This window comes from Homo sapiens, chromosome 4, assembly GCF_000001405.40.
Source record: "Homo sapiens chromosome 4, GRCh38.p14 Primary Assembly".
Taxonomy (NCBI): domain Eukaryota; kingdom Metazoa; phylum Chordata; class Mammalia; order Primates; family Hominidae; genus Homo; species Homo sapiens.
In genome coordinates this window covers 168,121,148-168,148,459 of record NC_000004.12, presented here as the reverse complement: position 1 = coordinate 168,148,459, position 27,312 = coordinate 168,121,148, and the positions used below count along the sequence as shown (strand labels likewise).

General features: G+C 38.0%; 1 protein-coding gene across 2 annotated transcripts in view; it reads right to left on the bottom strand.

Annotated features, from left to right (window-relative positions):
- The window catches only part of ANXA10 (annexin A10), a 95,200-nt gene that overhangs the window by 39,277 nt on the left and 28,611 nt on the right, over positions 1 to 27,312 (bottom strand). For both annotated transcript variants that reach the window (XM_011531571.3, NM_007193.5), the window contains exons 2-3: positions 20,295 to 20,376; positions 8,880 to 8,974 (exon numbers count right to left, since the gene is read on the bottom strand). In XM_011531571.3, coding sequence (XP_011529873.1) covers positions 8,880 to 8,974; positions 20,295 to 20,376 — 177 coding nt within the window. The remainder of the gene's footprint in view (positions 1 to 8,879; positions 8,975 to 20,294; positions 20,377 to 27,312) is intronic.

Sequence of the window (27,312 nt, the reverse complement as noted above, 5' to 3'; positions counted from 1 at the left end):
GGCACGGTGGCTCATGCCTGTAATCCCAGCACTTTGGGAGGCCAAGGCGGGTGGATCACAAGGTCAGGAATTCAAGACCAGCCTGGCCAAGATGGTGAAACCCCGTCTCTACTAAAAATACAAAAATTAGCTGGGCGTGGTGGTGGGCACCTGTAATCCCAGCTACTCAGGAGGCTGAGGCAGAGAATTGCTTGAACCCAGGAGACAGAGGTTGCAGTGAGCTGAGATCATGCCACTGCACTCCAGGCAACACAGCAAGATTCCGTCTCAAAAAAAAAAAAAAAATTGTCACATATGGGTCAAACCCAATTCACTCAAAGGACTCAAACCCCTTGGCTGTGACAGAAATAACTGTGGTTCTGACCTCTGGCTCAAGGGCCCACAAAGCTGAAACACATGGGGTCAGTAATGATGAAGTTGCACCTGATGGAGGACTTTGTGTAGGCCAAAACCATTGGAAATTCATTTGATTGAGGTGTGCACAGCCACTGTACAGGATATCAACGTGTCATGCTGACTAATGCAGAGCCTCTGTCTCCCTCATGTCCCCTGAACTTTTCCTTCCCTCTACCCCAACTTCTACTGCTTTCAGGAAAAAAGTGAGTGAGGGTGGGACACAGATCTTCCTATTCCCATTGTGGACTAGGGCCATGCCCATTTGCCTTTGTGGAGCAGGAGGACTCAAGGATATGTGAATCTGTTGGATGCAGGTGTCCATGTCACCATTCTACCTGGACTCATCGGTGAAAGTAAACCCGAATTCAAAGGATGGGTTTGAACAAGGTTTGAAATGGAGAAGGAAAGTCAAAAAACCTTATGATTGGAGACCTTTAGACTAGTATAACTTCCACTGTTGAACGTACTTGGTATTCATGTTTATTTGTTTCTTCTGTGAATGCTCCTAAATACTGGAGGGGATGCTTTCCACAGGAAAACAGCATATGTAAGAAGTGCTACTACCTATGAAGCCCCATAAGCCTAATGATCACTTTCAGGCATAAGTTTCTATGATAGATGGTTTGCTGATTGGAGCCTCTGGCAAGGGAAAGCAGCTTCTCAAAGGCGCCTCTTGATGTTTTAAACTTGCTGCCTTCCTGATACAATTCCAGGTATATCCCCTTTGAAAAGCAGCTACTGGCCTGCTATTGGACTCTTGTATAAACTGAATGCCTGATCCATGGAGGCCTTGTGACCCTGATGCCTGATATTCCCATATTAGGGTAAATCAACTGGGACTCAATGAATGGCAAGGTGGAAGAAACCAGCCAGTCTCACCTGTCAAATAGAAGTGGTACATCAAAGAATCCAGTAGGCCTGGACCCTGCAGTGTCTTGCATTTACATGAAAAAAATGGTAGCTATTCCACTGGGGGAAACTTTTGGGGAAATCAGCAAGCTGCTGATTCAATGGGGACCTCAATCTGTTGCCCTAAATGCCATGGCCTGGTTCACTGGCGATTCAGATAAGCTGAAACCAGATAGTGTCCACTGGGATGCTGTGGCTACTCAACTCAGAAACACCTGTGCAGAACAAAAAAAGAATGATTATTGCCCCATGGGCAGAAATCAAGGCTATTATAGCTCTGAACAGTGTTCCCTTTGATAAACTCAATGTTTTTATTCACTCTTGGGCTGTTAGCCTTCTCTTTGGGTTAACTCTTGGAAAAACACAAACTGCATATTAAACAGAAGTTTCCTTCTGTAGTCTGTGGGGGGAAAAATGCAGGTTCTGATAACTTTTGTGTCCTTCTTGCAGCTGTCCACAGTAAGGGCTGATTCTCTGATGAGACCAACTGGAATCCAGGTGCTGATCCAGCCTGCGTTGCTCAGATCACACAATTGCTACCTGTATTCATCATCAGACTGGACATCACAACACATATACCCTCAAAAGCTGGGCATATGGTAAAGCATTCTATGTTTCTGACGCCAAGGTTACCACCGCTTGCCAATCTTGTCACTTTTGTCAAAGGTTGACTTGCGTTTTTCCTGGCAAAGGAAATCACAATTCATAGGATATTGCCCCTGTAGTTCTGGCAGATGGATTGCATCAGACTTTGATTACCTCATAGAGTTCTGTAGGTCCTCACAAATGATAACACTTTTTCAAGTTACAATATTGCTGTTTCAGGTCAATCAGCTGACTTCCGCCACATCACTGTGGCCCATGAAAATAATCTGTGCCATGTTTTTGGCTTTCTAGACTACTTGAAATCTGACCATCATGCAGTTTTATTAAAAATGCCACTCAAGGCCAGGCATGGTGGCTCATGCCTGCAATCCCAGCACTTTGAGAGGCCAAGGCGGGTGGATCATCTGAGGTCAGGAGTTCACGACCAGCCTGGCCAACATGGTGAAACCCCGTCCCTACTGAGAATACAAAAATTAGCTGGGCGTGGTGGCATGCACCTGTAATCCCAGCTACTCAGGAGGCTGCTTGAACCTGGGAGGTAGAGTTTGCAGTAAGCCAAGATCATGCCACTGCACTCCAGCCTGGGTGACACAGCAAGACTCTGTCTCAAAGAAAAAAAAAAAGCCACTCAACAATAGACTAAGAGTCAAGGTATTTGATGATCTCCACCATCCCTAGGCTTCTGGTATTGCTGCAAATTGATCAGCTCAGTAAGACTTCTGACTCTATCTTCTTGACCTTCATCTGGCCTACTTAGCTTAGTAGGGAAGTTTGGTCCCTGAATTCAGCGGTTCCTGGAAAATATTAACCTCCTTTCAATTTCTTGGAAAATGACCATGATGGAGGAAAAGGGTCATATAAACCTATTTGTAAAATTTGGGATTTCACTCTGACCTTTTCTAAGCATGATGCTTCTTTCTTTCTCTTAATACTGAAAGGATAATTTAGTGGGTAGGGTGTTAGCAAAACTTTGCAAAACTTACAACCGAGGCAATTCCAGTGAAAGAGAGCTGGCTAACTGACTCCATCTTGCTTCTAACCTCCAAGATGTACTTGTTCATTCCTGGTCATACGCCGAACTAGCTTTGGGAGGAACTTAGGTTATAATTTAACTTTGAAACAAAGATGGTAACAGCCCTTTTCTAAAACAAATCCCCTTGGCTGCCTTTGCAAGACTAACAAATTAGCTACAAGATTAGAAATTATGGGTTAGCAGTCTTGCAGCTGGAGGCTGTGACATTCTGAACCTCCCTAAATTGTTCCTCAGGAAAACATCAGTGTTATACACTTGATCTTATCCAAAAGGCCGGGAAGCAATACTACATCAGTATTATAAAACCTAGGGTCAGTGCTTGAGATATTTTGCAGACCCCGTGCTCAGTGGATTAGCTGGCAACACCCAGGTTGATAAGCTGGCTCATCTGGTCTTGCGGCCCCCACCCAGCAACTGACTCAGTGGAGGAGGACAGCTTTGACTCCCTATGATTTCATTTCTGTACCAGCCAATCAGCACTCCACACTTTCTGACCCCCTACCCACTAAATTATCCTTAAAAATCCCAATCCCCAAGTTTTTGGAGAGACTGATTTGAGTGATAATAGAACTCCTGTCTCCTGTACAGCTGACTCTGTGTGAATTAAACTCTATATTCCCCTGTCTTGATAAACCAGCTCTGTCTTGTCACAGGGCAAGGAGAAACCACTGGGCGATTACAATACCAACCTCAGGGTGTCCTAGTTGGTCTATTCTCTGGGTAGCAGCCTAATCAAAAGTGGACATAGGAATTCAAACTCAATTCTGGTTCAGTCACTTGGATTCTCTCTGGAATCTCATCATCCCAGATCATAAGGTTAAGGATCATTGTTGTGGGTACACTATGTGTGGTACACTATGTGTGGGACATAATAGCTTTCCGGAAATTGTATACAAATGGCTTTGTCCCTCTTGCACCTGACCATTCCATATTAAAGTTCTAGGTATCAGTTGGAAATGATAGAAAAAAACTGAAGTTATATCTACTGGAATGGAACAGGTCAATTTTCTAGTGGTAAGTAAGAACAACAACTGGGCGCAGTGGCTCATGCCTGTAATCCCAGCACTTTGGGAGGCCAAGGTAGGTGGATCACCTGAGGTCAGGAGTGTGAGACCAGCCTGGCCAACATGGCAAATCCCTATCTCTACTAAAAATACAAAAATTAGCTGGGCGTGGTTGCACGGTCCTGTAATCTCAGCTACTTGGGAGGCTGTTGCAGGAGAATTGCTTGAACCTGGGAGGTGGAGGTTGCAGTGAGCTGAGAGCGCGGCAGTGCACTCCAGCCTGGGTGACAGAGCGAGACTTTGTCTCAAAGAAAGAAAAGGAAAAAAAAAAGAACAACAATCTTGGCACCTGGAGAGAGGACACTTAATTACACCATTTTGGCCTTAGAAGGCATTCAGGATTGCCTTAACTCACTGGCCAAGACTGTTAGATGATAGGCTTGCCCTGGACTTCCTCCTGTGGGTCAGGTGAGGGGTATCTGGAGCTCTAGCATAGGGCTTGGGGTGAGTGACAGCTTTAGATTAGGCCCTCTTGAGTATTTGACACTTAAGCAAAACCTTGAAAGATGTGAGGGATTTGGCAGTATAGATGTCTGCCCTTGTAAGCCTGAGTGTTTGCTCCATTGAGAACAGTGGGCATTACTGAGAAGCTGTGGAAGAGACAATTTAATAGTCAGATGACCTTGGTTGAAGTTTTACTTTTGGGCAAGTCAGCCCCGGCACTAAATTGCTTAACCAACCATGTGGGTTAAATGAATGACAGAAACCAGCATATTTTAGACCGGATAGTCCCTGTTTTAGATGAAAAATGAGAAAATTAATTGCATCAATGCTGAATTTGAACTTCTCCAAGAATCATTGTCTGTTTATTCTTCTCCCCATTCACAAGGGCATTTCATTGTTCCCTTGGTGTCACTGCATTGTTTTTAACTAGCACTTGCTTTGGTGGGGAAGATCAGAAGTGACCTCATGAATTACTTTGATAAATATGTCAATCAGCGGAATTCCAAGTGGATTTTCAGTTGAGTCTAGGGATTAGTTTCTGCAATAGGTAAGGCAAAGCTGATGAAATTCAGCCACTCTGCACGAATGTAAAATGTCAAGTAAGAAGTGTTCATGGAGCCTGCTGAGAATTGTACTTCACTCAGCAGCTAAGAAAATGATTCTGTCAACTCTTGATTATTCTTGTTAATGAAAATTTAAAATACCATTGATTAACATAGGGGTTAATGTATACATTCTTACCACAGAAAGGGAAAAGTAGCAGGAGATACACCTTGGCCAGGTGGAAGAAGTAGTCCTAAATGTGAGCGGTGGTAGATGTCAAGAAGACCTTACTGATGGTCGGAGAAATTAACCTGGTAGCAGCCAGGGCAAGGAATGAGAGAAAAGAAATCTAGGCAATTGGTGTAGATTCATTTTAACTACAGAGTGGATAATGAAAGGATGCTTTTCCTTTTCTTTAAAAAAAAGTAAATAGGCAGAATATAATGCCTTAGATTCACTGATTCTGTAAATGAAATGCCTCTTCTATGCCAGACCTGGGCTGGGCTCTGGAGGGATAGCAGCAAATATTACAATCCCTGCTTTTCCAGGAGATTACAGTGTTATTGGCAAGATGTAAAAGTGAACCAGCACAACCCAGTAGCATTATGCACAAGGATCTCTTGGAACCAAGCAGGAAACACAGAGTAGAGGGTGAGCATGACAGGCTGGGAAAGTTTACAGGAGCAGTCAAAGCCTGCCTGTGTCTTATTGGAGGAGTTGTAGTTAGATGCACCTTTACAATGTCATTCAATAAACATTAATTAAGCAATCTTGGTATGCTAGACAGACATTTATGGTAAGCTCTAGGATGAACAAGAATCATCCCAGCTTTCAAAGCTTTAGACTGTGGTAGAGTGAAACAGATACAAACAAGCTCTCAGATGTGTCATTAGTTACTGTGAGGAAATTACAAAAAGGATGTATTAGCAGCCCAAGTCTGTTCCACTCGATCTGGTGGGGGGCTGTGAGGTCTTGTGTCTAGTACCTGGAAGGATGATAGGTGTCCAGCCTGTGGTATTGAAATCAGGTTATTGAAGATAGATAAAACAACATGACTGGTGGTGAGGGGCAGCCATGGTTAATTTGAAGAACTACAAGTATAGCAGTTCTATTTGACTGCAGGTGAAAATTGTGTTAGGGAAGGGGAGAGGGATGAAGACGGAGAGCAGGAACAAAGCAAGCAAGGCTTCGTGTGCCCTGGGAAGGCATTAGGTTTATTCCATGTGTAGGAATATGTGTAGGCAGATGGCTAGACATGAGCGGGTTACTCAAGGGGAGCCCTTGAGAAAGGAAAAGCTTGGGAAGTCTTAGGCCCAAGGGACCACCCACCGCTTACATATTAATAGAATCCCTAATGCTGTAGCGGGTGGACAATTAGTCAACTGTGAGCAGAAAGAAAGGAAAAGGAAAAAGGAGAAATTCCTAAGAGATATATAGGCACAAGTACCAATTTGACTGCTGTACGACCTTACTGGGGTGGTGGTAATGAGCAGTGCAGCCATTAGATAGAATTCGTATCCAACCCCTGGCCCACGCATGCGCACTGACTAATAGTAAGGGAGGGCCCCACAAACCTGGGGTGGAAACTAGGCAGGGAAAAGGCAAGGGCTTACGGCAGAAGCAGAAAAACTAGATAATGAAAAAAGGCAGAGACTTGAGACAGAGCAGGGAACGTGAAGAAAAATCCAATGTTATAAAAACCCAACCCAGGACTCTCTGTTGGCCCATTCTCTTTCAGCAGCCTGCTCTGCCTCATCTTTCAGAATGTCCTGTCTCTTTAAATAAACTCTCTGCTCCCTCTTTCCCTTCAAGTAAAGATTTCTGCTGTCTTTGAATTGTCACTTGGCCATTATCTTACTCCCAAGATGATCAAGGACCGAGGATTCCCCATACTTTTTAGTAGCGCATGGAAACACGGATGTTTGTAGGGAGAAACAAGATAAACACTCAAGGATTAAAGTGGCAAAGTGATGTGTGAAAATTTAGATTTTGAGTCATTCTGGCTACGGTTTGGGGATAGACTGGAGTGGGAAGGGACTAGGGGTAGACAGGACCATTTAGGAATTTCAGCATTAGTCTGGGCACAAAATGATGAAGATCTAAATCAAGACTGTGTAAGTCAGTTTAAAGAGAGAAATGTGTGAAGAGAAATAATTTACAGAACTTGCTAATTGATTATAAATGACAAGGGTATTTCAGAGGAAAGAGGCAAACATGACTTCCAGTTTTCCAGGCAGTGCAATTTAGTGTATCAGCCAAGGTTTTCCAGGAGGTATGAATTATTCAGCAAAACTGAGGGTTTAACAAACTCTGAGACTTTATATGTACAGTGAAAAGTTCTTCAGTGGAGTATAAATTCTTTAGTAGATTTTAAATTCCTTGAGTGTAAGTACTTCATTTTAAAATTGTTTTAATCTGCTTTAGCATAGTTTTGTAGAGCTTGATAAAGTAATGTTTTCAGTCTAAATTTAACCTGATTTGTAAAAAGCAAAAATGTATGTAAACCTTTGGGTTAAAAAAAAGTTACTTAAAAATGGCATTTCTTCTCTGGGCACAGTGGCTCACGCCTGTAATCCCAACACTTTGGGAGGCCGAGGTGGGCAGACCACCTGAGGTCAGGAGGTCGAGACCAGCCTGGCTAACATGGTGAAACCCCGTTTCTACTAAAAATACAAAAAATTAGCTGGGCGTGGTGACGCACAGCTGTAATCCCAGCTACTCAGGAGGCTGAGGCAGGGGCATCACTTGAACCCAGGAGGCGGAGGTTGCAGTGAGATGAGATCACGCCATTGCACTCCAGCTTGGACAACAGGAGCGAAACTCCATCTCAAAGAAAAAAAAAAAAAGACATTTCTTATAGCACTATGCATATTAAAACAATGTTAGATTACCAGTGATACAACTTTTATAGTTTTTATATTCTCTTTCAAAAGAAAACTAGTACTGGTGTAGGTGGAACATAGGCTGAGGTAACAGTTTATGTGGAAAAGAAGATATCACTGGTCTTCTACTTTGGCTTACTTCAACTAAGGTCACTACTGATAGTAGCTTTTGGATTATTAATTCAATCTAAAGCTGAGGGATATCTTTTATTTCATCTACTATAGTTGTTCAAAGACTGGGGTTTAGAGGTGGAGTAAATTTACATGGATTAACTCTACTGAGAAAGTTTTATGATAATGTTTCATTGATAAAGCTCAGCTGATGAAGTAATTGTTGTTTCAGGCACTTTTGGCCTGAAGAGTTTTTGTTCTGAATTTGTGGTTTAAATGCATAGCAAAAGCAAGGAATCTTTAATGGTACTTGCTTTGAAATTAGAGTATGATTACTTTAAAACACTATGGATAGTTTTATTGCCTTAAACTATTTTTAAACTGCCATTCTTTTTTAATGGTCTCTATAGCTGCATGCTGGTGAAAGGAAAAGCTGGTAGAGAATTCACTTTGGTTGAGAGTTAGGTGAGGACCTGCAAGGAACTGTAGGAAAAGCTGTTATATTTTGAACTGGTGATCATTAATTTTTTATGTGCCTTCCCTAAAGCTCGCCACAGGGGTGTTTCCAGCACAACACTTTAAGCCTAATTGGACCCACTGGCAATGTAAGTTCATCAAAACTTTTCATTTGGGGACACTGAATGATTTTGGGGAAAGAACTTGTGGTCACTGGTCACTGTGAGTGTGAACATATCTCACATGTATATTTGTTTCATAATATAGATTTTATTCCTTGAAACATGTAAGAGGAATATGAACTGTATCTGACATATAATGATGTCTGAGATATTTGCAATCTGTGAGATTGAAAAAAAAAATACCTATTATCCGTGAGTGTGGTTAGTTCTCAAGAGATTGCCCTAGAAATAGGTCAAGATAAAGTGGCCTTACCCGGCCATACATGCTCTGGTATGCCTCTGCAATCATCATCCTTTGTGCATTGCAGCGCTGAGTCAGAATGTTGATCAGCATGTCTTTGTCACAGTCTGGAAAAGAATAATATTTGAAGATTAGTAAAGTTGCTACTTTGTAGTTGGGAAGAATCCTTTATCTAACGATCATAACCAGTATGCACGCATTATCCCTGATGGTATTTTACAGCAGGGAACAATTTTAACTAAAATTGGAAATCATGTAATGATGCTTGATGAAGCCTGGATCCTTCCTATCTCCTAATTTAGTGCCATTACTTTAAACTAGGCATTGAAGGAACATTCCTCAAAATAATAAAAGCCATATATGACAAACTCACAACCAACATCATACTGAACAGGGAAAACTTTCCCCCTGAGAACAGAAACAATACAAAGATATTTCCTTTCTCCACTCCCATTCAACATAGTACTAGGAGCCCTAGCTGGAGCAATCAGGCAAGAGAAAAAAATAAAAAACACCCAAATTGGAAAAGAGGAAGCCAAACTATCTCAGTTTGCTGATGATATGATCTTACCATCTTATAGAAAACTATAAAGACTCCTCTAAAAGACTCCTAGATTTGATAAATGACTTCAGTAAAGTTTCAGGATACAAAAGCAACGTATGAAAATCAGCAGCATTTCTATACACCAAAAACAATCAAGCTGAGAACCAAATCAAGAACTCAATTCCATTTATAATAGTTACAATAAATAAATAAAATATCTAGGAATACATTTAACCAAGGAAGTGAAAGATCTCTGTAAGGGTAACTACAAAACACTTGAAAGAAATCATAGATAGCACAAACAAATGGAAAATTATTTCATGCTCATGAATTGGAAGAATAAATATCACTAAAATTATCATACTATCCAAAGCAATTTACAGGTTCAATGCAATCACTATCAGCTTATCAGTGTCATTTTTCCTAGAATTATGACAAACAATCCTAAAGTTCATATGGAGCCAAAAAAGGGCCTGAATAGCCAACGCAATCTTACACAAAGAGAACAAAGCCAAAGTCATCACATTACCTGATTTCACACTATACTACAAGGCTATAGTAATCAAAACAGCATGCTACTGCAATAAGAACAAGAGAAAACAAATAACTCCATTAAAAAGTGGGCAAAGGATATGAACAGACTTTTTTTTTTCCAAAAGAAGACATACAAGCAGCCACCAAACATATGAAAAATGCTTAACATCATGAATCAGCAGATAAATGCAAGTTAAAACCACAATGAGATACCATCTTACGTCAGTCAGAATGACTATTATTAAAAAGTTAATGGCCAGGCACGATGGCTCATGCCTGTAATCCCAGCACTTTGGGGGGTCGAGGTGGGTGGATCATGAGGTCAGGAGGTTGAGACCATCCTGGCTAACATGGTGAAACCCCATCTCTACTAAAAGTACAAAAAATTAGCCGGGTGTGGTGGCGGGCGCCTGTAGTCCCAGCTACTCAGTAGGCTGAGGCAGGAGAATTGCTTGAACCTGGGAGGTGGAAGTTGCAGTGTGCCGAGATCACGCCACTGCACTCCAGCCTGGGCAACAGAGTAAGACTCCATCTCAAGAAAAAAAAAAAAAAAAAGTTAAAATAACAGATGTTGGAGAGGATGTGCAAAAAAAGGAATGCTTAAAGACTGTTGGTGGAAATGTAAATTAGTATGATCTTTGTGGGAAACAGTATGAAGATTTCTCAAAGAACTAAAAATAGAACTATCATTTGACTCAGAAATTTCACTACTGTGTGTACATACTCAAAGGGAAAGTAATCATTATATAAAAAAGATATTTGCATCTATATGTTTATTGCATTACCATTCATAATAGCCAAGATATGTAATCAACCTAAGTGTCTATCAACAGATGATTGGATAAAGAAAATGTGGCATATACACACCATGGAACCATGGAATACTACTCAGCTATAAAAAAGAATGAAATCTTGTCTTTTGCAGCAACATAGATAGAATCAGAGGCCATTATCCTAAGTGAAATAACTCAGAAAATGTCAAGTACCATATGTTCTCACTGATGGGTGGGAGCTAAACGAAGGGTACACATGGACATATTGAGTAGGATAATAGATATTAGAGACTCCAAACAGTGAGAGGGTGGAAGAGGGGCAAGGGTTAAAAAATTACCTATTGGGTATGATGTTCACTATTCAGGTGATGGGTACACTAAAAGCACAGACTCCACAAGTATGCAATATATGCATGCAACAAATCTGCACTCGTACCCCTTAAATTTGTAAAAAAATATTGAAAGGAAAATAAAAATCCAATCAAAAGTACAGGGGAGTGAAGAAAATATAATGTCTCTTCAATCAGCTCTTACTCCACTAAAAAAATGGCTCCTTGACCTTTAAGCTGATTAGTGTTTAAATGGGAGCAACATCTGATATTTGGATTTAGATCCCTGCCTGGCTACCCTGCACAACTGTGGGACACTGCTCTCTGCATCCCAGCTGCTCCAGCTCCAGCCTTGGCTAAAAGGACCCCAGATATATCCCAGGCTGCTGCTCCAGAGGGTGCAAGCTGAAAATTGCCAAGGCTTCCACATGGTGTTAAGTCTGTGAGTGCATGGACAGCAAGAGTTGAGGTTTTGGAGCCTTTGCCTAGATTTTAAAGGATGTATGGAAACACATGGATGTCCAAGCAGACATCTGCTGCAGAAGCAGAGCCTTCATGAGGAACCTCTACTAAGGCAGTGTGGGGGAAAAATGTGGGGTTGGAGCCCCCACACTGGGACACTGCCTAGTGGAGCTTTGAGAAGGGGGCCACCATCCTTCAGATCCTAGAATGGTAGATGAACTGACATCTTGCACCATGCACCTGGAAAAGCACAGGGAGTCAACACCAGCCCTTGAGAGTAGCCGTGGGGACTGAGCTCTGCAGAGCCATGGGGGCGGAGCTTCCTGAGGCCTTGGGAGCCCACCTCTTGCATCAGTGTGGCCTGGATATGAGACATGGAGTCGAAGGATATTATTTGGGAACTTTAAGATTCAATGACTGCCCTGTTAAGTTTCAGGCTTGCATAGGGCCTCTAGTCCCTTTGTTTTGGCTGATTTTTCCCCTTTGGAAAGAGAGTATTTAGCCAATACCTGTACCCCAATTGTACATTGGAAGTAACTAACTTGTTTTTGATTTTACAGGCTCATAGGCAGAAAGGACTTGCCTTGTCTCACATGAGACTTTGGACTGTGGACTCTTGAGTTAATGCTGAAATGAGTTAAGGCTTAGGAGACTGTTGAGAATCAGTAATTATATTTTGCAATGTGAGAAGAACATGAGATTTGTGGGGGGACAGGGGCAGAATCATATGGTTTGGATTTGTGTCTCTTTGCAAAGCTCATGTAGAATTCTAATCCCCAGTGTTGGAGGAGGGGCCTGGTGGGAGGTGACTGGATCATGGGGGCAGATTTCCCCCTTGCTGGTCTTCTGATAGTGAGTGAGTTCTCATGAGATCTGGTTGTTTAAAAGTGTGTCGCAATTCCTTTTCCTCTCTTCCTCCTTGTAGGAAGGCCATGTAGGATGTGCCTGCTTCCCCTTTGCCTTCTGCCATGATTGTAAGTTTCCTGAGGTCTCCCCAGCCATGCTTCCTGTACAGCCTGCAAAGCCATGAGCCAATTAAATGTCTTTTCTTTATAAATTATGTAGTCTCAGGTAGTTCTTTATAGTAGTGTGAGAATTGACTAATATTGTGTCTTTCTTGTTGAATAGAGAGATATGGCTTATAATGAACATATATTAAGGAGGGAGGAGTAATAGAGAAGGAAATCATGAAAGTACAAGGCATCTGTGTGCTTCTGAGGGATAGAGTGAACCTGTCATGCTTTTCATGGAACACCTATCACCCTGTCTATCTCCTCCCTAATATAGACTGTTTCTGGTCTGTGTATCCTTCACTTCCTCATGTGCCAACACACCAAGCTAATAGATTGGTTTAGTGCACAACTAGTTTAGATGAATTTTGCAGTCATAGTAGAGTCAGCAATATGACATTAACTTTTCCCTTAGCTTGACTAAAATTTAGATAAGTTTCTTCCCAACTACAGGCTCCTAACCTCCCTTTTATTAGAGCATTTATTTTAGAAAACATGCAATTTTAAATTCTTTCTCTGCCTCTTAGAGATGTAAGTCTCCTCCCAGCCTCTTGCAGTTTGACAACCCAAAATTGTCTTTCTCAGGGATATGGGAGCCATCCTTTTGAAATGTCATCATTGGGAAGATAGAAACTGTATTTCCTATTTCCCAGTGTCTGTGTGAGGACAGGAACCTGACTTTGTTAAGTGCCAATTAGCAATCACAGATAGCCTAATCACATTGACCAATGCCCTCCCTGCCCAACATCCTTTAGTTCTTTCCTACTATCTCACCATACTGCTTAAAAACTCTCTTGCCTTTGTTTCATAGGATTTGAGTTCACTCTCTCTCCCTTCTTGCAATAGTCTTGATCCCTACTGCAGAATCTTCCTTGCTGTTTAATTCCATCTGGTATAATTTTTCTTCAACAAGGGAAGATATATAATGGAGATAAGGAGAAAAATGAATTGAAAAGCTAGAATGTTAAGCAAATCATCTTTTTTGAAATTAAGTCCCTCCTGGATGGGCTTAGGATCACAGGAAGGCTATGAATAAGGTGCTGAAATATCCAGCAAATGAGAACAAGTGTTAAGAATTAACATAGATGACTGTATCACTGAAAAGCAGGGGGAGCATCAGGGTATTTTATGCACAAATGGTCTGAAAGCTGTAACAGGGAGGGAGGAAGGCCTAGAATTGGCTTCAAAGATAGAAATTAATGGCTACTGAGAGAAAAGGCAGACTCCACTGAAAAGGCATAGAGAAAGATGATGTCTGGCTCAAGCCTGGTTAAGACCCTGAACTAAAAGGCAGAAACAAAAAACAAAACAAAACAAAACCAGTAGAGGAATCTGTTAATGGCATGATGGACATTCTAAAGTGAACATATATTTGATAATAAATAGAAGATTTTAAAATTACTTTCTTTGTCTTATTCTTACTATTATCACATTTATGAAATTATTATAGTCTTACTTTTTGTTCTTGTTCTGTTGAGATTATCCACAATCTAGCGCTCTGAATTGCTCTATTAAGTTTTCATAGCAATTCTTGTTTATTTATTCTTCCAGAGATATTTTATATGAATCTCAATAATTGTATTACAATTTTTAAATTAAAATAACTGTAAATTTAGGAATCAATTTTGTAAGTGTTGTCTTTCTGTCACTTACATGATATTTCTGCCAACCTATTATTTAAGGATTTTTCTTCTCTAAAAGACTTAGTAAAGATTTGTGGAGCTTTTTGCTAATGACAAGAAGGTTTATTTTGCTAAAGTTACTTATATTTGCACTTCTATTGATATTCCCAGTTATGTTATTTTTGTTTTATTTCCTAACACATAATTGCTTAATTGAAGAAGTGATACTGATTTTTGTGTTTACTTTGTATCCTGAGAAGTTACTGAACTCTCTTATAATATTAAGTAACTTTTTATTAAACTTGAATTTCTAGATATATAACCTCTTCTTCATATAATCACAACTTTGATTTCTTCTTTGTAATCATTATAAGTTTTTCTCCTTCTTCTCCTAGTGCTTTAGGTCAGGGATTTCTAAATAATTTATCTTTTTCTGATTTTAATGGAAAATTTGGGCATAATGAACCATCATAATTTTATCAAATTTTATTTTGTACAAGTGACTCATTGTATGTGGTATTTATATTCTACAAATTTGCCATGAACACTGAATTAGTAAATACTGAACTATTGTTCCTAGGGAAAATGCAGGGTTAGGTTTCTGTAACCCTGTGGTTACAATATTTTTTGTCAACTGAAATGTCATTTGCATTATGTTTGTTTGCCAATGTCCTTATGAAACAAGCCAGTCTTGTTAGCATTGAAAACTATACTTCCAGATAGCCTTCTCCTGTATAAACATTTAAGAGATATTTTTAAAGCTCTTCTGTAGCCTCCTGATCTACAGAATTTTTCTAACCTGCCACCCAACACTGCTTTCAAAAGAAAGCTGACTGCCTTGATTATTTTTTAAAATTATTAATTTTGTTATCAGTTATAGTCTCAAGAACCCAAAAATTCAGCCATTTTTTCATCTTTTCCATACTTCATAACATAGAATAGATGTTACTTCAGCATTTTCCAAACAGCATCGTGCAGAGATCAATACATTTTCTATTATTTTTTATGGATGTATTATTTTATTAATTCATTAACATTAAACTCATGGTCAACAGTACTATAACTAATTCTTGAATTTAGTTTATGTGACACACATATTTTTTTCTTGAATACTTCTTTTTGTGCGTAGGAACACACTAGGCAGTACTTCAGCACTATGCTTGGGGCCATTTTAAACAGCACAATCACCAAGCAAAGCATAAAAATGCAAAATTGTGTCACTACATAGATTGCATAAAGGACTTATTTACAGCATGAAAGCTAAAAGAAGACGGCAGAGGTCACCTTGTTTGATTTCAACCAGCAATATGCATTCTAGTGACTAAAATTTTTCACCTCTCTGCACATGTCTGCAAATGACCACGAAATATCTGTGCATATTGATTTGGGGGTTATAAAACAATTTTAGTGAGTAGATAAATTTGTAAATATAGCATTTGTGAATAATGAGAATCGACTGTATGGTCAAATAGGTAAAAGTGGCCTCCTAGGCAAGAACATAATTATTACTAAAATTTAAAATTATTCCTTAATTTTTTACTTTTAATTTTTGTGGTTACATAATAGGTATATATATTTATGGGGTACACAAGATGTTTTTATATAGGCATGCAATATGAAATAAGCACATCATGAAGAATGGGTTATCCATCCCCTTAAGCATTTATCCATTGAGTTGCAAACAATCCAATTACACAGTTTTAGATATTTTAAAATACACAGTTATTATTGACTATAGTCACCCTGTTGTGCTATCAAATAGTATGTTTTATTCATTCTTTCCAACTATTTTTTGTACCCATGAACCATCCTCGAGTCCCCAGCAGCCCTCCGCTACCCTTCACAACCTCTGGTAATCATCCTTCTACTTTTTTATGTCCATGTGTTAAATTGTTTTGATTTTTAGATCTCGTAAATAAGTGAGAACATGCAATGTTTGTCTTTCTGTGCCTGGCTTATTTCACTTAACATATGATCTCCACTTTCATCCATGTTGTTGCAAATGACAGGATCTCATTCTTTTTTATGGTCGAATTGTACTCTGTTGAGTATTTGTATTATATTTTCCTTATCCATTCATCTGTTGATGCACAGGTTGCTTCCAAATCTTAGCTATTGTAAATAGTGCTGGAACAAACACAAGAATGCAGATGTGTCTTTGATATATTGATTTCCTTTCTTTTAGGTATATACCCAGCAGTGGATTTTCTGGATCACATGGTATAACTCACTTTTTAATTTTTTTGAGGAACCTTTAAACTGTTCCACATAGTGGTGGTACTAACGTACATTCCCAGAAACAATGTACAAGGGTACTCTTTTCTCCACATTCTTGCCAACATTTGTTATTGTCTGTCTTTTGGATAAAACTCATTTTAACTGAGGTGAGTAAAATTATTTCTTAATAGCACTAAGTGGTCTACAAGAAATCAACATTAAAGACACAGAGAGATTAAAAGTAAAGAATGAAGAATTATATACCATGCAAATGCAATCAAAAGAAAGTTGGAGTAGCTATGTTAATTTTAGACAAAGAATACTTCAAAGCAAAGAAAATTATCAGGAATAAAAGGGTTATTACAAAATGTTAAAGGGGTCAGTTCTCCAAGAAGATATAACAAACCTTAATATGTATGTGCCAAACAACAGAGTGCCAAAAGAGATGAGGAAAAAAATAATAGAATTGCAAAGAGAAATAGAAGAATCCACTGTTATAACTGGGCAATTTAACACCTCTAGAGTAATTTGTCAATTACTCTATAAGTAATTTAAAAATCCAGCAGACAGAAAACCAGTGAGGGTATCATTGAAATGAACAGCACCATCAATCAACTGGATTTAATTAACATCTATAGAATGCTTATTGCCACAAAAGCAGAATACACATTCTTCTCAAGTTACATGGAGCATTAACCAAAATAGACCACATTCTTGACCACAAAACACATCTTAACAATTTAAAATAATAAAAAACATACAAAATATGCTCTGAGGCTGCAATGAAATTAAACTAGAAATCAGTAACAGAAAGATGGCTGGAAAAATCCCCAAATACACACAGATTAAACAGCACACTTCTAAATACACATGAGACTAAGAAGAAGTGACAAGAGAATTTTTAAAAATTTCAAACAAATTGAAAGTAAAAATATGACTCAAAATTTATGAGATGAGCAAAAGCAATGCTTAGAGAAAAATGCATATAGAGAAACAAAAAGAAATCTGAAATCAAGAATCTAAGCTTGCATCTTAGGAAACTGGAAAAAGAAGAGCAAATTAAACCTAACATAAATAGAAGAAAAGAAAGATTAGAGCAATAATCAATGAATTTGAAATTGGAAAATCAAGAGAAAACATCCATGGCACCAAAAGCTGGTTTTTTTTGGGGGAAACATCAATAAAATTTATAGGGCTTTAGCTAGGTTAAGGAAAGAGAGAGAAAGCAAGAGAGGGAGAGAGAGACAGAGACAGAGAGAGAGAGAGATAAAACTTACGAATATCAGAAACGAAACAGGAGCCATTACTACCAATCTCAATGGACATTAAAATCATAATAAAATATTATTAATAACTCTAAGACCACAAATTTGATAGTCTAGATGAAATGGATCAATTTCTTCAAAGACACAACCTACCCAAACTCATAGACAATCTGAATGGGCCCATATCTATCAAAAACTTAAGTCGGTGGTAATTAATAACCCACAAAATAGAAAGCACTAGGTCCATATGGCTTCACTTATGAATTCTACCAAACTTTTAAGAAAGAAATATCAATTTTCTACAATCTCCTTCAGAAATTAGAAGCATAGAGAATGCTTCATAACTCTTTCTACTAGGTCAGCCTTACCCTAATACCAAAACCAGAGAAAGGCACAACAAGAAAAGAAAATTACTGACCAACATTTCTCATGAGCATAGATAGATGCAAAAATCCTCAAAAAGTTTGAAAGTCAGATATAATAATGCATACAAGGCATTATATTTCATGATTAAGTGGGATTTATTCCAGATATGCAAGGCAGTTTCACCATTTAAAAATCAGTTATGTCATCCATTGCATCAACAGGAAAAAGGAGAAAAATCATGTGATTATATCAACAGATGAAGAAAAATCACTTGACAAAATCCAATACCTATTCAAGTTAAAAACTGTTAGCAAACTAAGAATAGAGGGGAACTTCCTTAACTTCATAATGAACGTTTTCAAAAATCCTATAGCTAGCATCATACTTAATGATCAGAAAGATCAGGAACAAGCTGAGATTGTCCACTCTGAATAGCACTGAGCATTTCAAAAAAGATTAATTTTGACTTGTGTTCTCCTTTGTCAAGATTTAGGAATGTAGGTTAAAAATGACTTCGGTTGTCCAGGATCTCACAGGGCTGACCTAGCAATTACACATGTTAATAGATACAAAATAAAAATGGTTATAAGAATGCATGGGCAGGAAAGTATCTTCAAGTGGTGATAAATTGGAAAGTAGACTGTACTATTAGGGAATGTTAACTAATAAGTGTTTCTTTTTATAGATGATGAGTAAATTTTTATACAACTTAAAGCAATTTCTATCAGAGCTACTCACTTTCATTTGTTTCAGAATACGTTTTTGCTTTCAGATTTTTCTAAATAAAACACAGTAGCTAAGAAAAACATTAGTTATTGTCTTTTTCAATAACACTTCGCCAGAGTCATGGAGATGGATAGAACTTTAAAGCAATTTGAGCTGTGTTCATGCTCTGGCATGCTACAGTGGACACCGTGCAATCAAAGCCCAAAACCTCCTGACGTACTTCAGCCTAATACACTGATAAGCAACAAATTATGATGGTCAAAATGAATCCTTATTCTGACCCTAAAATTGCAATGACAGGAACATTGAAACTGGAGCAAAGAAAAACTTTTTGGTGAACAGATTGCTGTGACCCATAGTTTTAAAGCAAAAATTGCACTCCTCAATAAAAAGTTAATTCATAACTTTGTGTTAACTTGTCTTTTTATTGTTCTAGTGATGACTGATATTTTAAAAGGCATGAAAGCATTGCAAACTCCTAAAGTCAGCTTTAGCGAGCATATTTTAAGTCCTCTATTGTTTTCCTATGGGATACTGCTAGTGAATAAAACACACAGATGTGCATTCATGCATACACACACACAGTCAAGCTCCTGTAAAGGCGACCTTGTCTTTAAAGTTAAGAGCTTGCTTTCTTATGAAAGTTTTTGCATGCCTTATGCAAAGATTTCTTTTATGTTGTCTATGTTTGTCTTTATGCTCATCAAGAGTCTTCTTAAAACAGGTTTTATTGTAGGAAACTATATGAAAGTTTAATACCTCCATATGATATCTTAAAAATTATATATATAATATTTTTTTTTGTAAAAGAATCCCAAAATTGTCCTCCCTTCTTCTCTCTCTATATACTTTTTCTAAACTTTAGTATCATTCATTATGAATCACCTCTATGTCAAACTCCAAGCTCTGGGAGTTCACAGTCCAGTCAGCAGGTGAGACAAACATAAGCACAGTGCAAATGAGATTAGGGGAGTGAGAGGTAGGAAGTAAGGTGCCTGGGGGGTTGGCATAGCTGATTGAGCTTGCAGTGCCCAAAGAAGGATTCAGAGAGGAAGGCTCATCTGAACAGATTCTTGAAGAAGAGAATTTAGATGAAAAGTAGACAAGAGAAGAAAATAACATTCCAGGCAGAGAAGTGATTGGGCCAATTTACAGAGATGTGAAAAGCAGAGTCATTTGGGGGAATAGCAAAAAGTTTGATTGACTGGAAGTGGAAATAGCAAATAGCAAATGAAACAAGCTAGAAAACAGAAGCAAAGGTTAAAAAGAATGCTCTATCCTGGATTAAGGTGTTTTAGTGGAGATTTCATTTAGTAGTTAGTGATGAGGCACTTATGGATTTAAGGCAAACATTTTAAGATTAGACTAGCAATTTCTAAAGGCAAATTTGTTCATCATTATTGTCTTTTTATATTATTTTTCTTCTCATTCTACTTCTTTGCTCAGTTTTTTTTTTTTTTGTCTAATCTGTATCTGTGTTTTGTAAGACATCAACTATTTTATACCCACAGTATAGTCTTAAAACAAGGTAAAGCAAAAAATAATCACAATAAAAGATGGTAGAAATAATCAGACTTACCAAATCCTTGGAGTGCTCCTCCTAGCATTTGGGCATCCATTATGGGATTGAAATTGGGAGCTGGGAAGATGGTTCCTTGCACCTGGTGGGAAAATCAATGAGAAAGTGATTGTAATAATTCATGTTAATGTTTCAACATTGTGGCCGGGCACAGTGGCTCATACCTGTAATCTCTGCACTTTGGGAGGCAGAGGTGGGTGGATCACCTGAAGTCAGGAGTTGAAGACCAACCTGGCCAACATGATGAAACCCCCTCTCTACAAAAAATACAAAAAATTAACTGGGTGTTGTGGCGCCTGTAATCCCAGCTACTCAGGAGGCAAAAAAAAAAAAAAAAAAAAAAAAAAAGGTTTCAACATTGTTTTCCAGACAAATGAAAATGAAAGTATATTCTGTGTGTTTAAATTACTACAAAACATACACACAAGGCCTGTTAAACAAACGCCTTACTTGTGTGTCAATTGCAGAGAGAAAATTTGGTTGAGTTCATTTTATCTGTTGGTCTCTACTGTGTTTGCATCTATTATTTAAATAAGAGACTATGATACCAAAACCAATAGTAAAAAAATGGGAGAATCAAATTAATAATATATATCTTCTTGACAAACAGTAAGTATTTTTTTAAGGAATGGAGATTATTTTATAGAAACTGAAAAAGGGTACCATATTGGTGGGATTCGTTTCATTCATATGAATTAGAAATGGTACCTGCTACTACAGCTTTTTTCTGTATAAGGGACCCTAAAATCATATTAGAAAAACATAAAAATAATTGAATTTGGATTATGAGCTTCATAAAAATCCAGGTGATATAGATAACGCAGAGATTATCTAACCAAAGCTCATGGCTGCAGAGGTAAACAGAAAAACTTGACTGACATTCTATCTAAATTCTCTCTCTTGACAATTATAAAATGGTAGAACATTTAAAGCAGGCTTGTGATCCACATGGTGCATTATTTTGGACTGAACCCGTCAGGACTAGGCACCATATAATCACACTCAGCACAATACAGCTGTCAATCAAACTTTATTAAGAAGGGCAGCTCTCCCTGTTTGTTGTCAGTATGCCCAGACACATTGGGGAATTCATGCCTTCCCACAGCAGATGAGTCTTCTAGGCCCTGACATGAACTCAGACATTCCTATTAATTAAGTTAATTAATTAATGAGAACAGGACTGGACCATAATTTCTAGCTAAATGAATATAAATATACTAATATCAAAATATTTGTAAAAGGAATTTGAAGGACTAAGAACTCAAAACTAAGAATTGAATTCAGTTTGGATTCTACCTCACTGATTAATAAATATGAAGTTGTCTATTTGAAGTAGACCAAAAAACATGATGATTGTGATATGTCTATATTTTTATTCTTAGAAGTACAACTAAATTAGTGGAATTCTTATTCTGTGAATTATGCAGATTCTTTCAATCATTATACTTATTATATTTAATGTTTTGCATCAGGAAAACAAAACAGAAATAAATATATCAGACAGACTCATAAGAATTACCTTGGAGAAGAAGGTGTGGGGGGAAGAGCTGGTCCTAGATAAGAGGGTGTAAATTTCCCCCAACCACATCTATGAATGAATAAGCGATCTGGGAAGTGGGACTGCAGTGTTTCCACAGCTGATTGTATATGAGATGCAAAAGATAGAGTTGGAGGTGGTAGCCACAAGGTTACTAAGTAAGAGAGTGATACAATTTGATTTGAGTTCCAGTGGTAACACTTTATAACAATGTAAAGAATGAAACAAAAAAGAAGCAATACAAGTTGCAAGAGTGGGTAATTTAGAATGCCAGTTGAGCTATAATGTAAACCTGAACTGAGGCAAACAGCATGTTTTCAATAAATACAGATTTCTTGGTTAACTAAATGTAATTTAATCTACTAATTTTTTTGAGACACATTTTAACTTAACCTAATAATGGCAGTTTACCCTGAAAAGTTACCTTGGACAGTCAGAGACTGTTTTAGGAGTTTTCCAGAATTTATACCTTTCGAACAATGCCCTTTTTATATGCATGATTTTTTTTTATTCTGGCCTTAGAGTAAATTGGAAATTTTGAAAAAAATGTACATTTTTCAATGTGACAGTGAGAAATAATGTGTATCTGTATGTATTAAGATTTTTTCATTTCTTTGAAAGTGGCCAGATTTAGAAATAGTATAACTTGTCTAAGCCAAAATAAATTGTAATAACTGTCATTTCTATTTAAATTCTTACCACAAGGTAATCAAAATATAATCTTTGCTTCTAGTTACATAAGAATTTAGGTTTTGAAAAAGGAATAAAGAATACTCTCCTTTTAGAAGACAGAATAAACAGCCACATAAACTTACTATACTGAAGAGCATGAGTAATTGTATGTTTAAAATTTAGTTCTAGAAACCATCTTCCCACCTCTGCGAATAGGTATCCTTAAATGACAGAAAAATTTCAAATTTATTAATGCCTGAGACTGAGTACAGACTGAAAGAAAACACTTGTTTTGCACGTGAAGTTGAAAAAATTATTTTTACTATCTCATATCAATAGGTACATCAATATATGGATCATATTTCACTTATTCATAGCCAATTAGGTGGCCAGGATTCACAAAACCACATCCCTCCAGATCCAACATCCCTAGGCTTCCCACATTTGAGTACTTTTTCTCATGTGGCTTTTGAGTCACATGCACCTTGACAATCTGAGTGCCTCAAGACTTTTTGAGTTTGAAATGTCAGCTAGGCAGGGTGACAGTTTGACTAACAAGACACCTGCTGGAGTGTGGGTTTCAATGGATAATTCAGTATGTTTGAAGTAGCTTAGTTTTAGTGCAGTTGATACTAGATCTCTAGTTAATTAAAGACTTTAAGAGTCCTAAGAGGAAATTGTACAGAAATCTTAGGATTTCCGTTCATGAGGCATTTACCCAGAACATGGCATTGACTTAACTTTGGAGCGTTGCTCCTTGGATTTTACTTTGGACAGAACTAAATGCTCTAAATTCTCCTAAAGGTCTTCAGGCATTTCTCACCCTCTGCCTCATGTCTCCCAAGAGTTCTTCCAAAGTGGTTTCAATGGCTTTAAACACAGCCAACATTAAAGGGTGGATTACTGAGCACATTGTCTTCCTTACCCTTCCGCAGTTAACGAGCCCTTCAGTCCCATTCCCTCGTTCCTAGCCTCACAATAGTTTTCATGTAATTTGCCTTCTTTTAATTTCTGTTGTTACTACTTAATACAGACCTTTGCCAATTTTTCTTTGAGTTATATCTGATAAGCTGCCAAGTAGATCCTATTTGTCTACCAAAATGATCCTTCTAAAAGATCAAATATTATTTGCCCTTCCATGCTTAAAATCCTTAATGCCCAAAACAATGCTTCTCAATATTTGTTTTGTACTCTGGCCCACATGAAACATGGTTTTCAGAAGAAAGAAACATCCTTGGGAGCATCTAGGCTTATGAACATGTCCCAGTATGCTAGCTTTAATTACATCCCATTCTTGCCCACTCAAAAAAGTATATTGCAATCCAACTGAGTGAGAGTATCATATAGGCAATGCAGGAATCACATAGGATAGAAAAAGTCAGACTTTGGTTCTTCAATATTAAACATTTTCAATGCATGCTGTAACATATTCCTGTGACTCAGAATAGATGACTCAAGGGATTCAACTCAAATATTTTAACAGATATACAATATTCTTCATGACCTGATTCCTTACTCCCTGGATAGTTTCATATTTTATTTTCTCTCTCCTGAGCCTCTCTATTCCTACACCGTGACTCACAGTCACACACTCCAGCTAAAAGGAACTTCTGTGTCATTGTTCATTTTGTTCCATCTGTTTGAATATTTCCTCCTCAACTCCCATCTCTTGACTTCACCTTATGATCATGGCGACCGTCTATACAAGATGTTATCTTTCAAGCTTTAGCTCCAGAGTCATCTTTTACATGGAGCCATTCATGATGCCTTTAGTAGGACTGTCCACTCCCAACATGGTGCCCTCTATTTTATCCTGGGCACGGAACTGTAGCACATGCTACTACAGCATCAATTGCACGTCAGCAGAAAATTTCCATTTCTAATTCTACTGGCTTTCTGAGAATAATGGGTCCTATTAACAGGGTTTCCTCAGTTTTCTTGAGAGTAAACCTGAATGGGAGTGGCTGTGCAAATATGGAAATAGAACTGTTCTTGCAAGTAAAGGAAGAAGGATTTGGATCTCCAGGAAATAATTTGGGAAGATACCTAACAAGGAACAAGAATGGAAAATGAGGCAAAATTCCTCTCTGTGACCTCCCCTTACTAGTCACAATTTTTCATTAACATTTGTTAAAAGGTTGTTATAAGTGATTTTTTTTTATAGAAGTTGGGGAAAAGAATGAGTTATTTAGGTTTGTCTGGGTGAAAAAAAAATAACATGCTGACAATGGCTCTCTTCAGTTTAAGTTTTAGTTAGTCAAACTTTAGTTCGGCACCTGTGAATCCTGTTCCCAACTAGACATCTACATTTGGGGGTCTCTGTTAGTCTTGGCATCACTCAATTGTAATGAGAATCTTGCTAAGTCAGTTTAAAGAAAACGTCCTAAATGTGATATCTGATGAACCTCAATGTCTGATCAAATTCCTCATCCCCCAAGTGATGGCTGGTCACTCCAGCCTGCCTTCAGCAAGATTCCTGTTAGGTATATTAAACCAGAATCAACCCTCTACTCTTGATGCTTAATCTCAGTAATTTTTCATTCCAGACTGCCTCCCTTGAATATAAATCCCCACTTATCCATGATATATTTGGAACTGAGCTCAGTTCTATTCAATACTGAAATCTCTTTTCCCCTATTGCAATAGTTTTTAAATAAAGTCTGGGTTTTTTTTGTTTTTCCATTTTAACTGCTACTCAGCTCTGATTTCTTCAACAACGCACAGCTATAGAGCTCACATGGGGGAAAGAATCAAGGCAGCATAACATGCTAGGAGTTTGAAGAAATCTGGGAAGGCTTTGGACTCCACATTGCATGCTCAGGGTATTTGAGGCAATCTTATGTGTAGACCCCCACAAAAACCTACGTGGTTTCCTGCTTCTTCTAGGCTATAAGCTCTCAAAACCATAGATTTTGTGCAGTGTAATTTTATTAATAGTAGTGTATTCGATTTGAAATAATTTCTGACTTCGACTTTTCAAAGTTTTCAATAGACTGGCAGGATTTTGATTACACAAATTCCTTCACAAAATTAACTTGAAATGACGCTAAATATGTGATATGATTTGAATATGTGTCCCCTCCAAATCTCCTGTTGAAATGTGGGCTCCAGTGTTGGAGGTGGGGCCTAATGGGAGGCGTTGGGGTCATAGGGGTGGATACCTCATGGCTTGATGCTGTCCTCACAATAGTGAGTGAGTTCTCACGAGATTTAGTAGTTTAAAAGTGTGTGACAACCTGCCCGCCAGTCATCTCTCTTGCTCCTGTTTTCGCCATGTGACGGGCAACCTCCTGCTTCACCTTCTGCTGTGAATAAATGCTTCCTGAGGCTTCCCCAAAAGCCAAGAGATGCCAGCACCATGCTTGTACAGCCTGCAGAACTGTGAGCCAATTAAACCTCTTTTCCTTATAAATTACTCAGTCTCAGGTATTTCTTTAAAGCAATGTAAGAACGGCCTAATACAATATGATATATTGAATTCGGTTCTAGGTATTCTCTCTCAGTAGTTGTAATTCACGCAAGTGGAATTTAGTTCTATAGTACAGAGTATTATATTGGGCTTAAAATGTATGTGCGAGTTTCAACGTAAATTACTTTCTAGACAATCCAGGAAGAGGTAACTATTTTCTAACCACCTGATCTCAGTCGGAAACTTCCTCTCCATCCTCTTATTACCCTTATATTTCTAATGAGATTAGGAGGTTTAGAAACAATATTAAGACACCACTGATCTGAAGAGACTTCAATGGATATGGATTTGAGAGAGTGAGTCTCATTCACGGAAGGTCAAAATGGAGGAGTAAAAAGCTGAAAAACTGGCCGGGGGCGGTGGCTCACGCCAGTAATCCCAGCACTTTGGGAGGCGAGGTGGGTGGATCACAAGATCAGGAGTTCACGAAATGCCTGGCCAGGATGGTGAAACGCCATCTGTACGAAAAATACCAAAAGTAGCCGGGCGTGGTGGTGGGCGCCTGTAATCCCAGCTACTCGGGAGGCTGAGACAGAGAATTGCTTGAACCCAGGAGGTGGAGGTTGCCGTGAGTGGAGACTGCACCACTGCACTCCCGCCTGGGAGACAGAGTGAGACTCCGTCTCAGAAAAACAAAAACAAAACAAAAAACAAAACCAAACAACAAAACCAAACAAACAAAAAAGCTGAAAAACTAAAGGGAATGTTTCCCTGTGAAAAGAACATGTTCAATGAAAAAAATTGAGAGTATATGGGAAATAAGTATTTTTGGTGTATACTATAACACATGAAAACACGATTTTTAATATTCTAAAACAATGAAACTTGGAATTTTGTTGAATAAGCACCAAATGTTCTCAATTTTTAGCTCTAAGCATTTAATTATTTGATAATGTGTTTTTAATCAAATTTTTGAGATTAACTTTGATATTATTAAATGATAATTAAACTATTCACTTTAAAAATTATGTGCATTTTGATTAAAATTGTAGCCTACACTTATTGTAATTTTATAGAATTTAACTTTCCTAGATTCAAATAACTAAATGTCATGTTACTTTTTGAAGAAAGTTAAAATAAACGGCTAACATGTGTAATATAATTTTACTATTGTAAATTAAATACGTATACACAATGGATTCAAGGAAGAAGATGATACATTGTATCATAAAAGTCTAACAAAATTCCATGGAATTTGAAGAAAAATGACTAATCTTCAAGTGAAAAATAGAAAACAGTTCATGCCTTGTTAGAATGTGTGTGTGTGTGTTTTTTGGTGAGTATAAAAGACATATGTTTACTCAAAGAATGTAAACAATGAAGAAAACTACAGATAATTT